This window comes from Homo sapiens, chromosome 9, assembly GCF_000001405.40.
Source record: "Homo sapiens chromosome 9, GRCh38.p14 Primary Assembly".
NCBI lineage: Eukaryota > Metazoa > Chordata > Mammalia > Primates > Hominidae > Homo > Homo sapiens.
The window spans coordinates 125,463,148-125,483,570 of NC_000009.12; the positions used below are offsets into that span (position 1 = coordinate 125,463,148).

A 20,423-nucleotide genomic window follows, 5' to 3' on the forward strand; every position below is an offset into this window, starting at 1 on the left:
GGGAAGGCCCTGTGCCTATTACCGCGTTAACATTCTCTTAAGCCCCAGTGCAACAATGGAACGGGAAGGCAAAGGAAATCTGCGACTGCAGGGTGCAGTGCAGGCAATTCAATTACAGCCTGGACTTACCTATGTCCTTCTGACCTATAAAACACAAGAGGCCTTTGTGTCTAACTGGCTTGGCCATTAAGGTTGCTGAAGATCACAACAATGCTGATCTTTTCTATTTAAGCTAAATCAATGTGGACAAATCATTATTCAGTAGCTTTAATTTAATTAGTAAATTAAATACACTACTTTACAGATCTTGTCAAGTACTTATGAAAAGAAAGATTCACTTAAGTGGTAGGTCACCAATAAGCCCAGCTCATTTAACTCATAGCCTTAACTGAATCTCATTTCAAATATCCAGCAAGTTCTAGTCACTAGGGTTTACCAGTCTCCTGCAGTTGTGCTTAACTCTTAACCCCAAAGAGTTCCTATCTTGCATCCAAATGGTGTTCTGGACAAAAAGCAAAACAAAACAAGAAATCCCCTAACATAACCAGCATGAACAGAATCAGATTTCCTTTGAATTATACTATTGCAAGAGAATGTAATCAGGTTACCTCTATTATGTTGCTTCCTTAAGATTTTATATGATCTATGCTTAATTGAGATACAGCGCTCTTTTCAGCTATAAAGATGACAGCTACTTTATTAAGGTTTAAATCTGATTTCTTAATGATAGGCTGCTTCCTTTAAAGACTCTAAACCTGCACAACCTTCTTATGATGAAACCAGATCTGGCATGGCTGAGTCTGGTTCTGAAATACAGCCTGAGTGTCTCTGATGGGTACCAGCTTCACAGAAAGGTCCCTTGCTTTTGTTTCAGGGTAGGAATGTGAGGCCAGCACTTAAAAAGAGAGCCACAGCATTCAAAGCCTGTGTCTAGAACTGGACATGGTGGCGCATGCCTGTAGTCCCAGCTATTTGGTGGGTTGAGGTGGGAGGATCACTTGAGCCCAGGAGTTTGAGCCCAGCCTGGGCAACACAGTGAGACCCTGTCTCATATATTAAAAAAAAAAAAAAAAAAAAAAAAAAAAAGACCTGTATCTAGAGGTATATAAGGATGGAAAATTATTTCCCTAAGAAAATTTAAACATGGTAGTTTCTGATACGGAAACATTCTCCTCTTGTATGTGTTGAATACATCCTTGACCAGTTATAATAAATTAAAATCAATTCACCTTTTAGGGGCTTATGACGTCTTTCAAAATAGCAAAATCTGACAGAGGGAATCACTCATTTGAATAATAATGGCAGCATGTTTTTTTTCTCCTTAAATCTAGAAAGACAGGATTTAATTCTTAATTTCTCAAGGCTTGTGATACACAGATTCTCAAATAACTCTTTTAAGAATTCATATTTATATGTACAATTTTTTAGGCATGTATCTATTTAGCCATTAAGTTCAAGTCCTTAAACACTCACAGGGACAGAGCAATAAATCTTCCCTCTGAGACCCCAGCCTAAGAGGGAGAAGTCGAGGGGAATGGAAAGAGAGCCACAGAACTGTTGTTTACGAAGCACGGCTTCTGAGCCTGGGTCTCTCCGGTCCCGCAGTATGTGTAATTATGTATTTCCCTGCAGCCGCTCAAATGCTCAGTCTCTTTGCCAAGTCAGCTATTCACACACTTTTTGGATATGGCATCAATTAAACTTGAGTTCTATGCCTTATGACGACCAAATTAATGGTTTGACAGCGGCTTTCTCAATAAACACTGCAAACTGGCCACAGTCGAAGGTTTAAAAACCATTTCTTTTCTGTTCAAAATTCTGACAAACATGTCTCAACTAAGACTGGGGACAACTTCATTATCCTCCCTACACTTAATGTCTTTTTGTAAAGAAAGCTGTTTAATAACATGTCTGCTCTGTTTTCACAACTAAATTATTCCAGTTGGTCACACGTTCCGGTCTTCGGCAAGACACTTGTGCTACCAGAGATAAAAACATGAAAAAGGAAATATATTGCAGAAATCAAAAACCTTATCTACTTCTAGACTCTCTCTCTTTGCCATAATTCATTCAAGAAGGCCCCAAGAACAATTTTTGATGTAAACTCAGCTACAAACATACATCACTATGCTGATAAAAATCACAGGCTAAACTTATGAAATATAGTGACTTTCATTTCTTTAGTGATGTTAAAATAACTTTTTTCTAAGGTTCAACAGACACAAAAGATAAAAAGGGTTACCATTAATCCTTTAAATAATAAAGAAACAGAAGACGCCCCACAGATTAATTCTATGGTCTGAGGATGAACTTGCTAGATTGAGTCACTGAATTAATTTGATGAAGATACTGGAAATCATAAAACACATAACATCAAGCCGATTCATTTAATACATCTTTGGGCACTTTACAACATAAATTATGTGGAATAACTTTTGGATTCTAAATTCTGGCTTCAGTAAGTTCAGTTTTCAGTTAACAAACATTCAGTGAGGACAACTCTGCAGGCTCCGTGCTAGGGAGTGAGGACACGGAAGCCAGTTCTTGGGTCAGTTAGTTCACTATGGAGATGGAGGTGGGAGAGACGGGTGGGCCTCCAATGGATAAATACAGCACAAAGGGGTATTCCTAGAGGCATGTGCAAACTCCTGGGGGGCAAAGTGAACAGAGAGAGCCTGACACTGGAGCTGGGTCTTGAAAAATGAGCAGGCTGAGTACGGGGAGGTGGAAATGTTTGTAAGTTAGAGAGGGGGTCAGGTTCGAAAGGCATATTCCAGGCAGTGGGAACAGCACAGAATGCATCGTGTGCAAGTAGTTACAGTGACCACAGCCCAAATGTGAGATGGGAAACTATGGGCTATGAGGCTAGCGTGTCAGCTGCTTGCCAATGTCTGCAAAGGCTATGCTGGTCTGCATTTTATTCTGTAAGCCTATTTCAAATTTTTCTTCTGGCTGAGAGTGGTGGCTCACGTCTGTAATCCTAGTACTTTGGGGGACTGAGGCAGGAGGATAGCCTGAGGCCAGGAACTCAAGAACAGCCTGGGCAACATAGCAAGACTTTGTGTCTACAACTAAGTAGAGTTCCTTTGGTTCAAGGGGAGGCCTTATGCCCAACCTTCCCCCACCACCCACCCCGTACCCCTGAGGTCTCTCTGAGATGCTAGAGTTCTGAGGAACACGGTTTAAAAAGCACTGCCATAGGGGACAGGGACTTAGGCAGTGTTTTACTGGTGCAGTGAGCCTCTTTGTTAAGGAAAAAACCTGAATCCTGCATCTATTTCTTTCTCTAACCTTTCCACTCTAGCTTATCCCTTTATGCAACACAGAAGTGATTGCCTTTCATTTCTCAGAGACATGGAGAATTTATAAAATGTTACTGTTCAAAGCATCCTAAGTTCTTGGAGAGAAAGATGCTAGAACAATGACATCTTTATTGGCCGACAAGCTGAAGTGAGCGGGATTAGGAAGATGTTTATCCAAAGGCAGAGGGAATCCAGCAACCTTGAGGCAAGGCCCCCCAGCAGCAGGCACTTTTCTCACAGCCTTTTGCAGGGTCGGAGGCCTCGCTGGGATGACAGGAATGGCAGGAAGGGAGTGGGGTGGCCTTCCTCCTTCCCCTGGGTCCCCCTAAGTTCTCCCTTTTTGCCAAGCTGTAGGCGAATGAGCTGAACACATAGTCCAGCAGAGTTTGACAAAAAATTAAACACCCACCCATAAATGAAGCAATGTGGCATGTGCCCAGTCTATCAGCCCCCGTCAGCCCCTGTTTAGTCAGCGTTATCTCAAAAACTTGAATCGTATTACAAACACTCGCTGGCCTTTACATTTCTTATTGTTCCTTTTGAGTAAGTAATTCCTTATAACATCTGTTCTCAAATTTAGTGAATGTTGGACACGGGATTAATAAAAATTAGATGCTCAGTCTATACTCCCAAGTTACTGAATCACAATCTACTAGGGTGGGCCCTCGGTAACTGCATTTAACAGGCTTTGCAGATAATGCTTGTCTGTACCAGACTTTGAGAACCATTATCTTATAGCAGTCTCTAGGCAACTAACAAACTCTTATATAGTTTAAATTTTTTTCTTTCACAGAGGAATTTCAGTGTGATCTATGTGCCCTTTTTGCCCCTTGATAGGACTGGAGTCCTAAAAATGATTAAGTGATTAATCTAAATGCTACACCCAATTACTTAACTGCAAAAGTATAATATGCCAAAATACATAACTGGACTGTATCTACTTTGATAATTTAAGCGGAGGAATGCCAACCCAGCAGAGATCTCTTCTGTAGGACCAGGCAAGAGTTTAATCATGAGCTGGTAGGTCATGCAGCTGCCAATAATCTAGGGGGTGCTGACACTTCCGGCATGATGGATATATCTAAATCTAGGCGTTCGCCGCCTTGGGAAATCCCCAGCTTCCCTCCATCTCACAGGGAAGGAAGGCAGGTCCAGGTCTGACTGGTCAAGTCCCCCAAATGGGAAGGGGAAGGGAGCCCAAAGGGAAATGAGGGCTCTGGTGAGTGCAAATTCCCAGCAGAAATCTGGCCCTGTGCCCCCAGCTCCCGGGGCTGGGCTGCTGAGGTCAGGAGGTGGGCTGCGAAGTTCTCTGCAGCCATCAAGACCGAACAGGATGGGGCACATGTCAGGCTCTGGGCACCATAATACAATCCCGTTTGATTAAAAGAAATTTCTGGTAATGAATTAAAACAGACCCAAGGAAAAAAGGACACAGTGGCAATATATTCTCCTGGCACCCAGCACACAGAAGAGAAGAGAGGGGAAAGAGAGAAAGGAGACATAAATAAAAGGGACTACTCACTGGGGCTTTTCTCTTCAGCAAGGTCACAGGCACAGAGCAGGTCGGAATCGATTGAGATGGGTTTCTGCTTAATCCAAAACTTAGTGCTGGCTTTCTGATTCGTAACAGGGTCTATCTCTACTTTGTCTCCAGAGATACCTGTAAGCCAAGGTGAGGACACAAAAGAAAACACAAGAAGTAGAAGGTGTAAGTGATTTCAGGGAAATCATTTGACCTGTTTTATAAATCTGAAATTGCATGAACGTGAGCTCTTTCTTAGGGCTTTGGGGAATGCCACGGGCTTCCTGAGACAAACATAAGGACACTCCAAATGGCACACACAAGTTGCATAGTCTGGTTTCCTGGGTGGGTGAGTTGAGGGTGGGGGAACCCCCCCAAACTATATGAGAAGGTATTAAGAAACAAGCCTTCTTAGATATAACATGGATCCAACACAGAGAGGCTATTTACAGCCGTACATTATCTCTATATTGTAATGAAATAACCATCAGGTTTATTTAAAAAACAGTTTTGATTGGTGCTCTGAGTTGTTGTTCTCATTTAAGAAGATCTGGGGTGGACAGATAAATCTGTAACATCCCTATGTTTAAACAGCTAAGCTACCAATGAACAGCTTCTGATCTGAAACAACCTTATACACTAAAAAGAATAAAATAACTCTTCCTTTCTGTGACACTAAATAATTATCCAAGCTATATTTAAGGGAAGTCACGAGAGGATTAAACCTTACATAAAACCTTCCAAGTTCAAGTCTTGGAGCCTGGCTTCAGGCTGCAGAGGTCATTGCCCCCCTGCTGAGGGCGAGACTCGGCACTGGGTGTGAGTTTTACGCAACAGGAATCCAGAATGTTCAATACTGGCACTTCAGATTTTATTTTCAGAGCTTAAAAGACAACACGTTGTATAGTGACCGGGAATAAAGGTGTTTGCAGAACAAAGGTAATGCCAGGTATGGGAGGGGCCCTGGAATAAGTGTGGAAATGCACAGCAACCGCTTTCTCAGTACTGCAGAGGAGTACATGCTCAGCCCGCCACACACCACCTAGGCTAGATGTGCTCTTTTTCCTCTTTTGCTGAAAATTAAGGAATCTGTTCATGAAGTGAGACAAAAACCTTTAACATGCCTTCTATAGTGGGCCCCATATGGAACCTTAAAAGTAATTAATTTTTAGGCCATAGTTTAAAGGTCAGGGTCAAAGTGAAAAAAAGCAAAATGAAGATATAAGAAATAATTAAAATAACCAAATGTACAAAGTGAAACAGAAAAGACATAGTTAACATATTTCATCCTACGAATCACACTCAAATTTTTGAACAAAATGTGAGAAAACTTAGTAAGCCAAAAGCAGCAGCAGATAAAAGAAACAGTTCAATTAACCTCCCCCCAAAATAAAACACACACACACCCCAAACACAGTCTGACAGCAAATTTAAAATTAAAAAAACAAATACAAACAAAATCCTACTGATTAGGTCTGCTACACGCTCCATACATTTATATTTTATTTTATGAATAAATAAATCCCAAATACCAGCTAGACAAAGGCAGAAGAAGAATGTGTGCAGACAGACTACAGTCGAGGCTCCTCTGCTGCCTCCAGGGGAGACAATGCAGAGATGGCTGCTGTACCCTGGTCAGTACGTGTGGTCTTTGGTAAAGATGAACCATTGGTATTTTTTACTAATCGAACGCTGGAATTTGTCATTAGACCTATTTCAGGAACACCATATTTCAATTAGGCATAATGTCGTAAGTCCAGCTGACTCTGGACGTTCAGGTCTAGATGATTTCAGGAGGGTGAGAATGTATCAGGAGACCAATTTTATTACATTTCAGTTAAAATAGATTACGACTACCCAGTTACACTCTTGCCTCCAATTTGGTCATTAATTGTTAAAGATCTGGACATTTCTATAGTTCCCTGAAAGAAGTACTGAAGCCATGGTTGTCGGGTGTGTGTGTGTGCATGTGTGTGTTCCCCTTCTTCTTCTTATTTTGACATTTATAAAAGTCAAAATGAGCCGAGCAGAATAAACATGCATATCTCTTATGTGAAAATAAACCGTGCTCCACATTCTTTTCTCAGAAAGAATGGGGAAAAATATCATCACCAGAGACATGGTTTTAAAATTTTGTTCTATGCCCCTACAACTCTTGAAGCTGTAGTCAGTCAATACTGTTAATGTACCTTGTTAATTTGATAGGATTTGTCAGGTAACTCCACTGGAAAATTATATAAAACTGTTCCAGATGAAAAGATGATAGTGACATGAATTAAAGTGATAGAACAATAGTGGAATATAAACCAGAAATGACACCCAAAGTGGCTGTTGATTTATTGCCGTACTGAGTTTGGTTCTGGGCTCCCATGTATATTAGTGCTACAAATCTGGGTCCATTTAGCAGAGGGATGCTCATACATACATCACCAGCTCCTGCTCCAAGCCAAGGTCACTCCCCATTGCATCAATCTTTTCAACAGAGCCTACTTCACAAAGCAGGACTTTTGTAACCATCTCAGATGTAACAGACTCTCGTCCTCTTTCATCTTTCTTTTATCATGTAAAGTACACTTTAACTTCTATTATTTTTATCTGCAAATTGTTACCGTATAGTTCATCCATTACCAGCAGTATCTCTGCATCAATTGCCTAAGCTCTGCACAGCCACAGAACACTTTCCCAATGACGCCCTTTCCTGGGGTTATTGTGCAGTTACTGTTCACAGAGGGGCACCCCAAGACCGGGGCTTGGGGATGAAGATGTAGGAGATGAATGCAATAGGCTCAAGATGGGCAGACAGGTGGGATATCATTTAGACGGTGTGTTCCAAAAAAGTTGCATGTGAATCAGATTTTTTTTTTCTGAATCGAATCACATTTTCCCACTGACTTCTAGTTCCAGAGCTACTTTATCTTCATTTTAGATTGATCTGTAATTGGCAGGGGCTCCCAACACTTTAGTTTTAAGTTTCTCTGCCCTGTAGGCTTTCAGTCAAGTAGTTAATGATCTGTAAAACACTTGCCTGCCTAGAGGAGTCACTATTTAAAGAAACCTGTAGGGGAATCTTTCCTGATGGGAAAAATCCTTTTGTACATTAAATAATCTTACCCTCTTAACACTTGTGTGAGTCTCAGCTTCTTAAGGCAGCGCAGGCAGCACCGCAGCACCCTATCTGCTCCTGCCGCCATGTGTCAGCACTCGGCCTGAGGCAGTCCACGGGAGCAGCCCTCTTCCTGAGCACCCCCGGGAAGAGTGCACACCTACTGCAGAAAAGAGAAAGGAGGCCCAGAATCCAGCCTGGAGGCAAACAGAGGCCTCTCTGTCCTTGGCTTCGGAGCCCTCGGTAGTCTTCTTGGTTACAAGGAGGAGTTGGCTTGGTGGAGGAGAGATCAGTGAGGAAGCAGGTGCCACAGCCCAGGCCAGGGGCAGGGACAGTCGCGGCTGGGGTGCAGTGGGGATGAGCATATTAAAGACAAAAGAGTTAGGAGTAGGCAGATGGCTGCACACAGGGTGTGAGGGAGAAGGGAGTCAGAGAGGTTCCTGGGGCATCGCCGCAGTGATGAGGGGTGGGGGAAGAGGTTGTGGAAGCCAGGCTAGTGGGGTTGCAAGTGCGGAGGTTGAGTAGTACCCCACTTGTCACTGCCACTTCTCTATGCTAAGGGGAGTGAGTGGGTTGTGGGCAGAAGCAGCACTGTCTCCCTGTGAGCAGAGCACCAGGAGAAGAGGGCTGCTGCACACACGGTCCCTGTAGCTCAGACTCCTTAAGGCAAAGGCCTAGGCCAAGAGCAAAGGTGCAACCCTGGTAGGCTCACTGCCGTTTCTGCTTCGGCAGGCTCGGGCACCAGCGATCATTCAGTACAATTTTCTCCTTAGGCCCAACAGGCATGACGCCAGTTATAGACACCATTCACTGAGCACCTCCAGTATTAACATAACAGCTAACATTAACTGCCATCAACAATGTGCCAGCATGGTTAGAAATCCACTGTGTGCATGGACTCAGATCTCTTAATAACCTCATGAAGTTGGCTAGTATGTTCATCCTATTCTACTGACGAGGAAACAGAAACACAGTGAGGTCAAGTAACTTGCCTAAGATCACCCAGCTCAGAAGTGGCAAAGCTGCAATTTGAACTCAGGAAGTCTGGTTCCAGAATGTGTCCCCTCAGCCACTACACTATTCTGCAAGAACTGTGCTAAATGTTTCATATAACATATCCCAGGAGAGGGGAAGGTGCTTGCCTAGGTCAGGGAGCATCTAAGTGGAACAGCCACTGTTCAAACCCAGAGCTGCCTGGGTCTCAAGTCCCTGTTCTTTCTGCTGCTCTGCACAGCCTCAGCCGTGTCAGAAGATGTATTAATAATAAGGAGCTCTGCCCAAGCAGTCCTCCATCTCCTCTCTCAATTTTCACCAAGGAACAAATAAATGTTCACAAATGCCAATAAATGCACACATCTATTTTTTGTTCATACATGGCAAATTGGAGCATGAAATCCGATCAATATTCTTTCTGACCACCGAGCATAGTTTTGATTTCCTCGGCTAAAGTTTTTGCGTAAAGTCATTTAAGGAATGGCAGAGGCACTCCTTACAGTGTCACGTATGCACTGTTTTAAGTAATTCAAATTATAAATGTATTTCCAAGGAAATAAGAGAAACTGGCTTTTGTTACATTGACATTTCTCCAACTTAAGTGGCCAGTAATAGAGGAATAGTTGATCCAACAATGATGAAATACAAGATAACCACGAAAAGTTTTGACTAGAAAAATCCTTATAACACAATAGTAAGTGAAAAGGACAGGAAAACCATTTATAAAAAAAGATGTCAAAAGGACGTGCTCCAAAAACTGGTGCCAGTGGCCAACTCTGGTTAGTAGAATTATATCCTTTCCTTTTCTGTATTTTTTCCAAGATAAACATTTCACGAAAAATAAAAACAAACATCACTTTGAAAGCTGACACTTTTTGATTTCCACTTCAGAATTCAGTATCCTTTCTCGACTGTTAAAATGTGGGGAAGGATAAGTATGCTGAAGTCTTGATAATGGTGAAGTGATCCTCAGTGAAAGAATGCTTCCTTCTAGCAGTTCTTCAGCAGAACTTTTTTTTTTTTTTTTTTAGCAGAATTTCTTTAACAGAACTTCTAGCAGTTCTAGTGGTATGCCAGGGGTTGCGCTGCTGGGAAGGGCTCATGAGCTACACTACACCCAACCTGGTGCCCCTCTCAAAACTGGAGCCCGGCAGGCTTCTTTCCAGCTCAGGCAGGTGGGGAAGAAAAGAGCACGGGGGCTGGCCGGGAGCAGCCAGGGTCAGCCCCTTCTCTTGGAAACAAGGGAGGCAGTTTGTCTCCCTTACCAGCTCCCTCCCCTAACCACTTATCCACAGCCATCCGTCATGACCTTTTCATGCTCCCACTTCTGACAGCTTCCAGATACAGTGAGTCAAACTTCACTGGAAGCAAACTATCACACCAACTGTCAAAGGCAGAAAACATTGCCTGATTGCTGTCCTACATCAACGCCAGCATATAAATCCTTCCTTAACAAGACAGCTCAAAATAAACAAAAACGCAACTCTAATGTGTATACAGCTCTCTGGGGAAACTATTTGTGCAAGCCTTTAGAGTTATCACAAGGAGACCCTTGTCTGCTTTAGCTAACCAAGATTTCCATAAAAGGAAATTAGCACCGCGTAGCATCTTCTTCTAACACAGACTGAGCGCCCACTCTGGGTAGCCCCCACACTAGGTCCTTTTGTGTACAGAGGCTTATTGAGAGCTTAGAACACCTCTAATCAGGAAGGCACTATTAGCCTATCTTACATTTAAAGAGGGGGCTTAGGGGTAGGAAATCTGGAGTCAGAAAGTCCTCTGTTCAAATGTCAGCCTTCCTACTTCCTAACTACGTGACTTGGGAAAAACTTCTATAAAACGGAGATGATAATAATACACATAATAATAGATACCTCAAGTGCTTGTTGTGAGGATTAGGTGAAATAAGGCATGACAAGGGCTTGGAATTGTGCCTGATACATAGCTAGCGATGAATATTACTCCTTCTAATGATTATTATCAGAAGTCAGGCACTGGGTTAAGGATGTGACATAGACTCAGTGATGAGGGTCGAGTCTGGGGAGCTCAGGGAGCCACGAGAAGGAGGTGAATAAAGGACCTGCCTGGCTCTGGAATTGGAGGGCGAGAAGAATTCTCCCTGGGACCTTCTCTACATCCCAGTCTTGGGAGCACCAGGATCCAGTTTGGGAGACAATGCCTTCATCCCCACAAATCCCCCCAGTAACCTCCCACCACCAAGTGTCACTGGGCATATCTCCTCCTCACAACCTCCAAGAGTTCAATTCAAATCAGGAAGAATGTTCTCAGATCTGGAATGTGGAAACTTTTGTGCTAGGGAATCCTCATCCTACTGGGTCTCCAGGCCACAAATTTGGAGGCCCTGATTATGCTGGCACATCCCCACTGGTGTTATCCTGGGCAAAGTCACTGCTCCCTTGGTGAGCCTGATCATTCTCCTCTGTAAAATGTACTAGCCTATGGTGAATCAAATTAGTAAACTGGAGAGCTTGGGTTCAAGTCCAGGTCTAGCTGCCTGGTGAGTTCTGACTTGCCAGCTGTTTCCTATTGTCCCAGAGGAGACTGCTTGACTCTTGGGAGGTACAACCTCCCCTATGGTACTCTTAAAATACCCCCTTAAAAAAGCTAAAACACCACTTTGGCAAAAATTAAGGCATTTAACAATTCATGTCTTAGTGTATTTCCTGTTATCATTTGCTCAGATATCATAAGCTGTGGTTCATTCATCAATTTCCTACAGCTTTGAATCTAAGGCTACAAAAGTCCCACTGCTGTTAAATCCTGGAGCAGCTTTTTACACAATTCTACAATCCTCTTGTCTTCAGGTTACCGAGAGCCTATGAAAGCCTGGAAAAGCCCCCAAGGGAGTGCCACTGAACAACTCTTCGCCAGAGTGGATTTTGCTGAATATATACAGCCAATCGATAGCATCCACAGAGCAGTCAGGGAAGTCTTTGAAACTTGTCTGAATTTACACACAAGATCAGACACACAGGCTGTTTGGGCTTAATGAGACCTTAGAGATCACCTAGTCTGGGGTTTTCATTCTCCATATGAAAAAATTGAGGCTCAGGGCTGGGACATGACTTGTCTGATGTCACCCATTAATGACAGAGCTGTAACCATAATTCATATCCCCATACTACCAGGCCAGGGCTTAAACAGACCAGCTCACCTGCCATGCAGGAGTACTGCATATTCACACTGATCAAATGCATTACAATAAAAAAGCGCTGTCTCCAGCAATTTAAGGCACCCAAAATAGATGACAAAACCATATTTCAGGTCACAACTAAAATGAAACCCAGTAGAGCCTTACTTTCTTGAGATCAAGTGGAGTTCTAGGCCCCAGGATCACTGGTTTCATTCAAAGGACTAACCATTCTGAAACGGTTTGGGAACCACAGCTAAAAGCTGCCAATTCCAATATGTGGTCAGTAAGAGACTCAATGACAAGTCCGAGTGTACCTGACTAGACTGTTAGGCTTGGCACGCAAAACAAGGAGTGGCCTGGACACGAACGAACGCAGAGCAGCAGTCAGCACAGGACACAGCACCAGGGCAGAGCTTATGAAATCAGACCTGGGACTGTTTAATCCCAGAAAGACTTGTCTTTGAATGAGTGCTAAGTTCTCTCTGCAGAGAAGGCATTTACAAAGATTCTGCACTAGGACAGCTAGATCACCAAACTACTCTCTCAGTAAATGGATACCTCAGGTGAGCCTATGATGTCAGCTAGGAAGCAGCAGGCCCTAAGAGAATTTACAGTATCACTTGTAGAGTGGGGAAAACCTGATCTTCCCCATGTTCAGGCCCTGTTGGAGCTCAGGTGCCAAAGATGAGGAAGTGATTAAAGGAGCACAGAACTCTGGATGAACGCTCATGAATCCGACTCCCATTAATTCCATCATGCCAGTGCTTCTCAACTTCTTCCAATTCTCAATTCTTTCTCAGCCACCTGAGGAACCTGACACATTGTCATTAATAACCCTGGGTTACTCCATAGGAATTCTCAAAAGGGTGGCTCTGGGAGCAGGGAGCCAGAGGAAGCTAGGCCTTAAGAAAAAGCCCACAGTGTTTCCAATATTACCAGTTAGGTGATTTTTCCCTAAGCCAATCACTGCATTTAGTGCAAAAGTGGTAACGGAGTTTTCTGGAGGCAGTCTTGATAGCATGCATCCTCTGCCTCATCAGTTCATTAGTATAAGTCAATTCCAAAGTTTGGTTCAGGAAATGCTGTCACAATAGGGACTGAACAATCATTTAATATCAGAATTGCCAACTTCAAATTACTGAACGGACCCAGGGATTTGAGTTAAATGTGACGCACGCCTCCTCCTGATTGTGTCTTGGAATGGAGAGGGGCACCTCCTTAGTGTTCAACGGCAAAGTGAAATGGAAACATGGAAGATCAATCCACTTCCTAAGAACACGCATGTTCAGATTATGTGATTACTTGAACTGTACTCCACAGGTACCCCACTGGAAACTAACAAGGGAAAATGTTTTATTCATGTGGCCACCCAGAACCATGTTTAGCCTGAGAGTGTGCCTGAGGAGTGAGGCAGTCCAGGCCACCGCTGCTGCTTTCACTCACTATTGTGCTGTTACCGTGTTTCTTAAGTTTGCATGTTGTATACTTAAAAATAACACCATAATAAAGTCTTCCTTTGAGTGCCGGCCTGTGGTTATTGACTAGTGGGTTAAATAATAACTGCGGTAGGAAAGACAAGGCAGGGAAGACAAGAAATGGCAAATATGCTGCCTGTCATCATGCTCAGGCCCAGGGCAGACATTTCTAATCAATCACAGAGTTTCTTTATGTTGCCCTCAGACACAGCTGGAGATGCTGCCTCAGCATAATGCTCTGGGCAGCCGTTATAAACTTGACTGGAGCCAGCTGATGAGACGAAACCTTTTTGCCTTCTCTAGGACATGTGGTATTGTACTTGATATTTTCATAAAGAACTACCATAATCACAAGTCTTATGATTATACATACTGGACAGTTTTATGAAAAGATAATGGAAGTAACCATGGAACCTTTTGGTAGAAGTCATTTTCTATCATTTATCTATAAATCCTATACAGACTCTGTATATCTTATACAGAATTATTTTATTAGGTTATAGATGCGATGCTGATAGGATGGAATTCATGGTATCTTACGTGTTCAGTAACAGATCCCTTCGGTGACATGGGAACGGTCTACACTGATAAATGAGGCAAACAAACCAAGTGAGTACAAGTGGTGCAAATATCAAACCACTTCTCAGCGTGAGACTGCATCAGAAAAACCAGGTTGACCTGCCCAGTCAGTAAAAACAAGCTTGGACAAAGAGATAAGGGGTAAGAAAGTCCTTTCAATACTGTGAGTTTGTGTCCCCTAAACACCACAATCTAGGGGAGATATTGAGCCAGCAGGCCTGGGATGAGGCCAGGGACTGGGTGACTCTGATATATGTTCAGGGTCAGACCCACTGCCCCGAGGTGCTCTGCATATAAGAGGTGTTCACTGTGGGGATGTCTTGGCCCTGTCTGCCATGGTTCTTGCATTGGTTTCTGTGCTTTCCTTTGGCTGGTGCATTGTAATTTAGCTTCTGCCAGCCAGCCAACAAATACTTATTGATAATATACTGTGGGTTTCTTAGATTGTGGCTGCATTCTCCGCTTGACCCGTTCTGTTTCAATGTTCCCCTAACTTACTTCCCCCTACCAGCCCGTTTGGGTGGCACATATCTCAGTGTGCAACCTCCCTCAAGTGGTTAGGCACACAGGATCAGGTATATGGAAGACCAAGTTAATGGAAATAACCTCAACTTGGTAGAATCTCAAGTAAAGCTACACTTGAAGGACATCTGTACTTTTTAGGACTGACAGAGGGAAAGCAGACAAGATGAAATATTCCAAGAATGTTTTAGAGAAATACAGGAATGGTTTGGAATGATGACTTTGGTAAGATTCTGGGCTGGTAGAGCAGGAATGGCAAAGATATTTCAATTTAAGAATTACCTTCAATTGATGGGTAGGGGTTGCTTATAGGACTGTGTTGGAACAAATTCTGAGGTTAGGTCCGGGCCCAGAGGGAGGAAGCGCAGTGGCTGATAAACAACATCTAAAATAAAGAGGAGGAGGGTATCACAGTACGTGGACATTCATCTCCAGATACTAGGGGCGGGAGAAGAGCAGGAATATGCACAAGTTTAGGAACTGGCCAACTAGAAGTAATCACTTCCGTTGTGCAGTTGAGTTATTTTTTCTTTATATATATAAATTTAGAGACAGGGTCTTGCTTTGTTACTCAAGCTGGAGTACAATGGCACGATCCTAGCTCAATGCAGCTTTGAACTCCTGGGCTCAAGGGATCCTCCTGCCTCAGCCTCCTAAGTAGCTAGGACCACAGGTATGCGCCACCACACCCAGCTAAGGTTTTTAAATGTTTTGTAGAGACAGGGTTTTGTCATGTTGTCCAGACTGGTCTTGAATTCCTGGCTTCTAGCAATCCTCCCACCTTGGCCTCCCAAAGTGCTGGGATTACAGATCTGAGCCATCCTGCCCAGTCTGGGGGTGAATTATTAATGACACCTGTGGATTGGCACCTGTGGTATGACAGATTGGGTCTGGCGTATGGGACTGAGTTTCTGCCTCAATTCTGCTGGAAGTCTCCGTATATCTGATGACTGAGGTGTGGGAGAGTTGGTACTAACAGCTAGGTACCTCTCAACACAGTGGTTTACATAAACCACGTTCTTCCAAACTCCTCCAAGCCTCAGTTTTCCCAGTCATGAAGTGGGAACAACAATATCAATGTGCTGTGTAGATTAGATGAGGTTATCAGGGAGAAAGCTCTTGGTGTATTGTAAGTTGTCATAGTTCCACAGAGATTTAGCACAATGATTCGCATGTAAGGCAGAGCAGTTAGGCTCAGGACTCAACCTCAGACAGTCTTGGATTCTTATTCCGGCTTGATTACTTACTAGATTTTTCCTACACCCCAGTTTCATCATATAAAAAATGGTGATAAAATCAGTACTATCTAATAAGAGTGCTTCGATTTCAGGCGCCAGCGCATGCAAAGAGAACAATTAGCAAAGTGCTTGGCACACAGTAAGCACTTGATAATAACTGCTTTGTAAAAATTCTATTTCTCATTACTATTATTTTAAAAGACCAGAGCTGTGTCATATGTTTCATTAATGGGGTTTTTCGGTCATAGAAAAGTCTGGTGGAGGCCGGGCACGGTGGCTCACGCCTGTAATCCCAGCACTTTGGGAGGCCGAGGTGGGTGGGTCACCTGAGGTCAAGAGTTCGAGACCAGCCTGACCAACACGGGGAAACCCCGTCTCTACTAAAAACACAAAAATTAGTTGAGCGTGGTGGTGCATGCCTATAATCCCAGCTACTTGGGAGGCTGAGGCAGAAGAATTGCTTGAACCCGGGAGGCGGAGGTTGCAGTGAGCCGAGACTGTACCATTGCACTCCAGCCTGGGCAACAAGAGCGAAACTCCATCTCAAAAAAAAAAAAAAAAGTCTGGTGGAAAATCGACTTAAGTTTGGGTCTTGCAGGTCAAAATTTGAGTCTCTCATCCCCTGACTTTCTCAGAAACAACTGGAACAGAGGCCACTACCACCCCATCAGAAGACAAGCAACTGGGTGGCACTGCAGAGCCTGGGGATTCTGATCCTCAGCTGCAGCTCTTACTACCACTAATTCAGCATGGATGAGTGGTTTTCTGTGGAATCAGCAGGGATGCTGGGCAAATGCCACACACTTACTTTCCACTTAAAAGATGTTGCCACAGGGGCCAAGTGAAATCTCTGTTCTGATTGACACAGGATGGACAGGTGGAGGTGACCATCCATCAGTGTCAGGAAGGACCTGAAGCACCTGGCTAGTCAGGTGAAATAAAATAAATTATTTACTCGTCTCAAAATCCAGCTGCTCACTTGAATACTCATACAGGGTGTGCTGTTTGCCTCCCTACTCTTGGCAGTAGAACGTCTCAGGAAGAAAGAATTTCTGGATTGCTAGGTGTGGGTTTTTGTTGTTGTTAGAATGTGAGGGTGATATCTGCTTTGTAAGGAGGGAGAGAGGGTCTTCAATTACATACCTGTGTAATCTACGTGGGATGGGAAAATGGGTTTATTTATTCAGTGCATGATATAATACTCATGGGCAGTCTGTCTGATTGTCACAAAATTCCTTACGACTAATTAATGAAATTTCTGATTATAATGATAAAGACTGAACTTTGAGGACAGAAACAAATGTTCTGACATCATCTCTTTTAGAAGCCCCTCTGAAATGCGACTCTACACCAGAGGGTGCCATGTGTGTCACTGGAAGCATTCCAAGCATTCACAAGTGACGCCCCAGCCTCCAGTCGCCTCACTTCCAACAACCAGGGAGATACTTGCATGACTGTCATCATTCATGTCTACCTGACAAGTCTCCATTATGGCCACAAGTGGAACTTTGCCAGGAGAGCCACCCCCTGATCTAAGTGATCTGGTTTAATACTTTCAAGATGGTGGACCTGGAGAGAGGGCAATAGGCAAAATAAATAATAATGACAATGATAATAACACTACGATAAGCTACTGCTTAGAATATGCTTCTATGGGCCGGGCGCGGTGGCTCACGCCTGTAATCCCAGCACTTTGGGAGGCCAAGGCGGGTGGATCACAAGGTCAGGAGATCGAGACCATCCTGGCTAACATGGTGAAACCCCGTCTCTACTAAAAATACAAAAAATTAGCCGGGCGTGGTGGCAGGCGCCTGTAGTCCCAGCTACTCAGGAGGCAGAGGCAGGAGAATGGCGTGAACCCGGTAGGAGGAGGTTGCAGTGAGCCGAGCTTGCACCACTGCACTCCAGCCTGGGTGACAGAGCGAGACTCCGTTTCGGGGAAAAAAAAAAAAAAAAAAAAAAAAAAGAATATGCTTCTATGGGCCAGACACTTTCATAGAATGTTAAAAGGTAAACATTATTATCCCCATTTCATACATGGTGAAAACTAAGATTGAAAAGGGAAAAGACTTGTCCAGGTGACACTGCAGGTAAGTGGCAAGGCTGGGATTCAAACTCAGTGCTGACTGACTGCAGAGCTTGGGCTCCTCCCACAAAGCCTTTTGTGGACTTTTTCCTTTGAAATAATTTACATGTCAGGCTCTAATGAATTAAAGTTTGTCTTTTTTGCCTTTGGAAAAAAGTGGGGAAAGAAGCCCATGATCTTGGTTATCATTCCAAGGCAGCGCTTTTCACACTGGGGAATGAGCGGGGATGGATTTGCTGATGATGCTCACCTGGGCCCTTGCTTTGACCCTCTGTCTTGACCACAGTTGGGCTACTTATTGGGCTTCTTTTTTTCCTTTGAGACAGAGTCTAACACTGTCGCCCAGGCTGGAGTGTAATGGCGTCATGACAGCTCACTGCAGCCTTGACCTCCCAGACTCAAGCGATCCTCCCATCGCAGCCTCCTGAGTAGCTGGGACTACAGGCAGGCACCACCACACCTGGCTATTTTTGTATTTTCTGCAGAGATGGAGTCTCACCATGTCGCCCAGGCTGGTCCTGAACTCCTGAGCTCAAGTGATCTGCCCACCTTTGTCTCCCAAAGTGCTGGGATTACAGACGTGAGCCATGGCACCCAGCCTACTTATTGGGCTTCTTAAAAGTAGGCCCATTCAGAAAAAGCAGGCCCTTTGCTATTGGGCAAGTACTGCAGCTAAACACAAACTGGATGTTTGAGTGGCATTCTTACTTTCATAAACTGAAAGTGTGGCCAGGCGTGGTGGTTCACGCCTGTAATCCCAGCACTTTGGGAGGCCGAGGTGGGTGGATCACTTGAGGTCAGGAGTTTGAGACCAGCCTGGCCACATGGTGAAACCCCGTCTCTACTAAAAATACAAAAACATTAGCTGGGCATGGTGGTGGGCGCCTGTAATCCCAGCTACTCGGGAGGCTGAGGCAGGAGAATCACTTGAACCCAGGAGGCAGGGGCTGCAGTGAGCCGAGATCAAGTCATTGCACTCCAGCCTGGGCAACAAAAGCAAAACTCTGTCTAAAAAAAAAAAAAAAAAAAGAAGAAGAAGAAAGAAAGTGTACACACAGAAAAAGTGCACAAATCATGAGTATATATACCATGACTTTTCCACAAAGTCTACAGACCCATGTAATCAGCACCCAGATCAGAAAACAGACCCTTTCCAGCTTCCCAGAAGCCCTTCTCCAGCCACTACAACCATCTTACCTGGAATAACCAGTATCTTTACTTCTTACATAAGATTATTTCCTTGTATTTGTGAATGTCATATAATAGAATCATATAGTATGTACTCTTTTATTTATTTTTGAGAACTGGCTTCTTTTTGATCAGTCTTATTTCTGAAATACAGTAGGAAAAACATCCCCAGGAGGAACAACACTGAATGACTTTATGATTTAAGAATCAACACTAAATAAGCAATTTCACCACTTTAGATATTTAAGGTTTTTATGAGGAAGAAGAGCTACAGTTAAGTCCTCACTTATTGTCATTCATAGGTTCTTGGAAACTTCAACTTTAAGTGAAATGATGTACATAATTTTGTTCAATGTCGTTTTGTTATAATGTTGATAAGGGAAAAAATGAGTTTTGTTATATGTCATTTCACTTAAAGTTACAGTTTCCAAGAACCTTTGGATGACATTAGGTGAGGACTTAATGCAGAGGGGAAAAAAAGGTGGGGTCTGCTTTGGTTCGAAGTTACTGAGTGCTGTCTCATCTGATCAGCCTGCTAGAATCACCATCATCTTAGCAGCTAATGCTCACTAGGCACTTGCTAGAGGCCAGGTGCCTAAGTTCTCTGCATGTGCTGCGGCATTTCATCCTCACAGTTGAAAAATTATCTTTGTTTTTACAGATAAGGAAACTGGGGCTCTGCATCATTTGCCGGTGGTGATACAGCTAATAAACGAGCAGGGTTTGTACCTGGGCCTCCGACTCCTGAGTGAGCCCTCTGAGCACCACACTCTACTGCCTCCCAACTAACAGCTCTCACATAGGGAAGTTTACAACTGCAGGCCCCGTACTCAGTGCTTTACATGTGGGATTTCACTCATTCCCCATAGCAACCCTGCGTCATTGGTACTACTGATATTCCCATTCAAGCAGGATAGAATTGAGGCTCAGAAAGATTAAAACACTGGCTTAAGGTTACATGGCTGTCTATTGATAGAGCACAATTTAAACCATTTGTGATTCTCTTGCCCATCTCTTAATCACTAAGCTGTATTGTCAGCATATTGGAAGTTCCTGTCAGTCAAGTTGGAAAGGAACATGTGAGGAGATTTTTGAGGCCTCTTACGAGTTAGCCAGGTTCAAACTAATGCCAACATTAGAAAAGATTTTATTATGACAAGCATACAAAGCATTTGTGAGAAACATAAAATAAATGAACCCTAAGAGTTAAAAGGAGACGCAGGAAGAGGTGGTGTGGCAGAGACAGGGTGCAGCTCAGCTC

The 20,423-nt window shown here is 43.6% G+C and overlaps 1 protein-coding gene across 5 annotated transcripts in view, besides 3 other annotated features; it reads right to left on the reverse strand.

Moving 5' to 3' along the window:
• Positions 1 to 20,423, reverse strand: part of MAPKAP1 (MAPK associated protein 1) — a 269,815-nt gene that overhangs the window by 25,754 nt on the left and 223,638 nt on the right. For all 5 annotated transcript variants that reach the window (NM_001006621.2, NM_001006620.2, NM_024117.4 and 2 more), the window contains one exon: positions 4,825 to 4,962. In NM_001006621.2, coding sequence (NP_001006622.1) covers positions 4,825 to 4,962 — 138 coding nt within the window. The remainder of the gene's footprint in view (positions 1 to 4,824; positions 4,963 to 20,423) is intronic.
• Positions 17,149 to 17,650: an enhancer, noted in NCBI's record as "H3K4me1 hESC enhancer chr9:128242575-128243076 (GRCh37/hg19 assembly coordinates)". NCBI's record gives its function as "activates a minimal SCP1, AML or CMV promoter by ChIP-STARR-seq in naive and primed H9 embryonic stem cells {active_cell/tissue: H9 hESC(naive and primed)}" and the evidence as "EXISTENCE:reporter gene assay evidence [ECO:0000049][PMID:30033119]".
• Positions 17,651 to 18,150: an enhancer, noted in NCBI's record as "H3K4me1 hESC enhancer chr9:128243077-128243576 (GRCh37/hg19 assembly coordinates)". NCBI's record gives its function as "activates a minimal SCP1, AML or CMV promoter by ChIP-STARR-seq in naive H9 embryonic stem cells {active_cell/tissue: H9 hESC(naive)}" and the evidence as "EXISTENCE:reporter gene assay evidence [ECO:0000049][PMID:30033119]".
• Positions 18,306 to 18,486: a silencer, noted in NCBI's record as "fragment chr9:128243732-128243912 (GRCh37/hg19 assembly coordinates)". NCBI's record gives its function as "represses an EF-1alpha promoter that drives an FKBP-Casp9 reporter gene in an ReSE screen in phorbol 12-myristate 13-acetate-treated (for megakaryocytic differentiation) K562 erythroleukemia cells {active_cell/tissue: K562(+PMA)}" and the evidence as "EXISTENCE:reporter gene assay evidence [ECO:0000049][PMID:32094911]".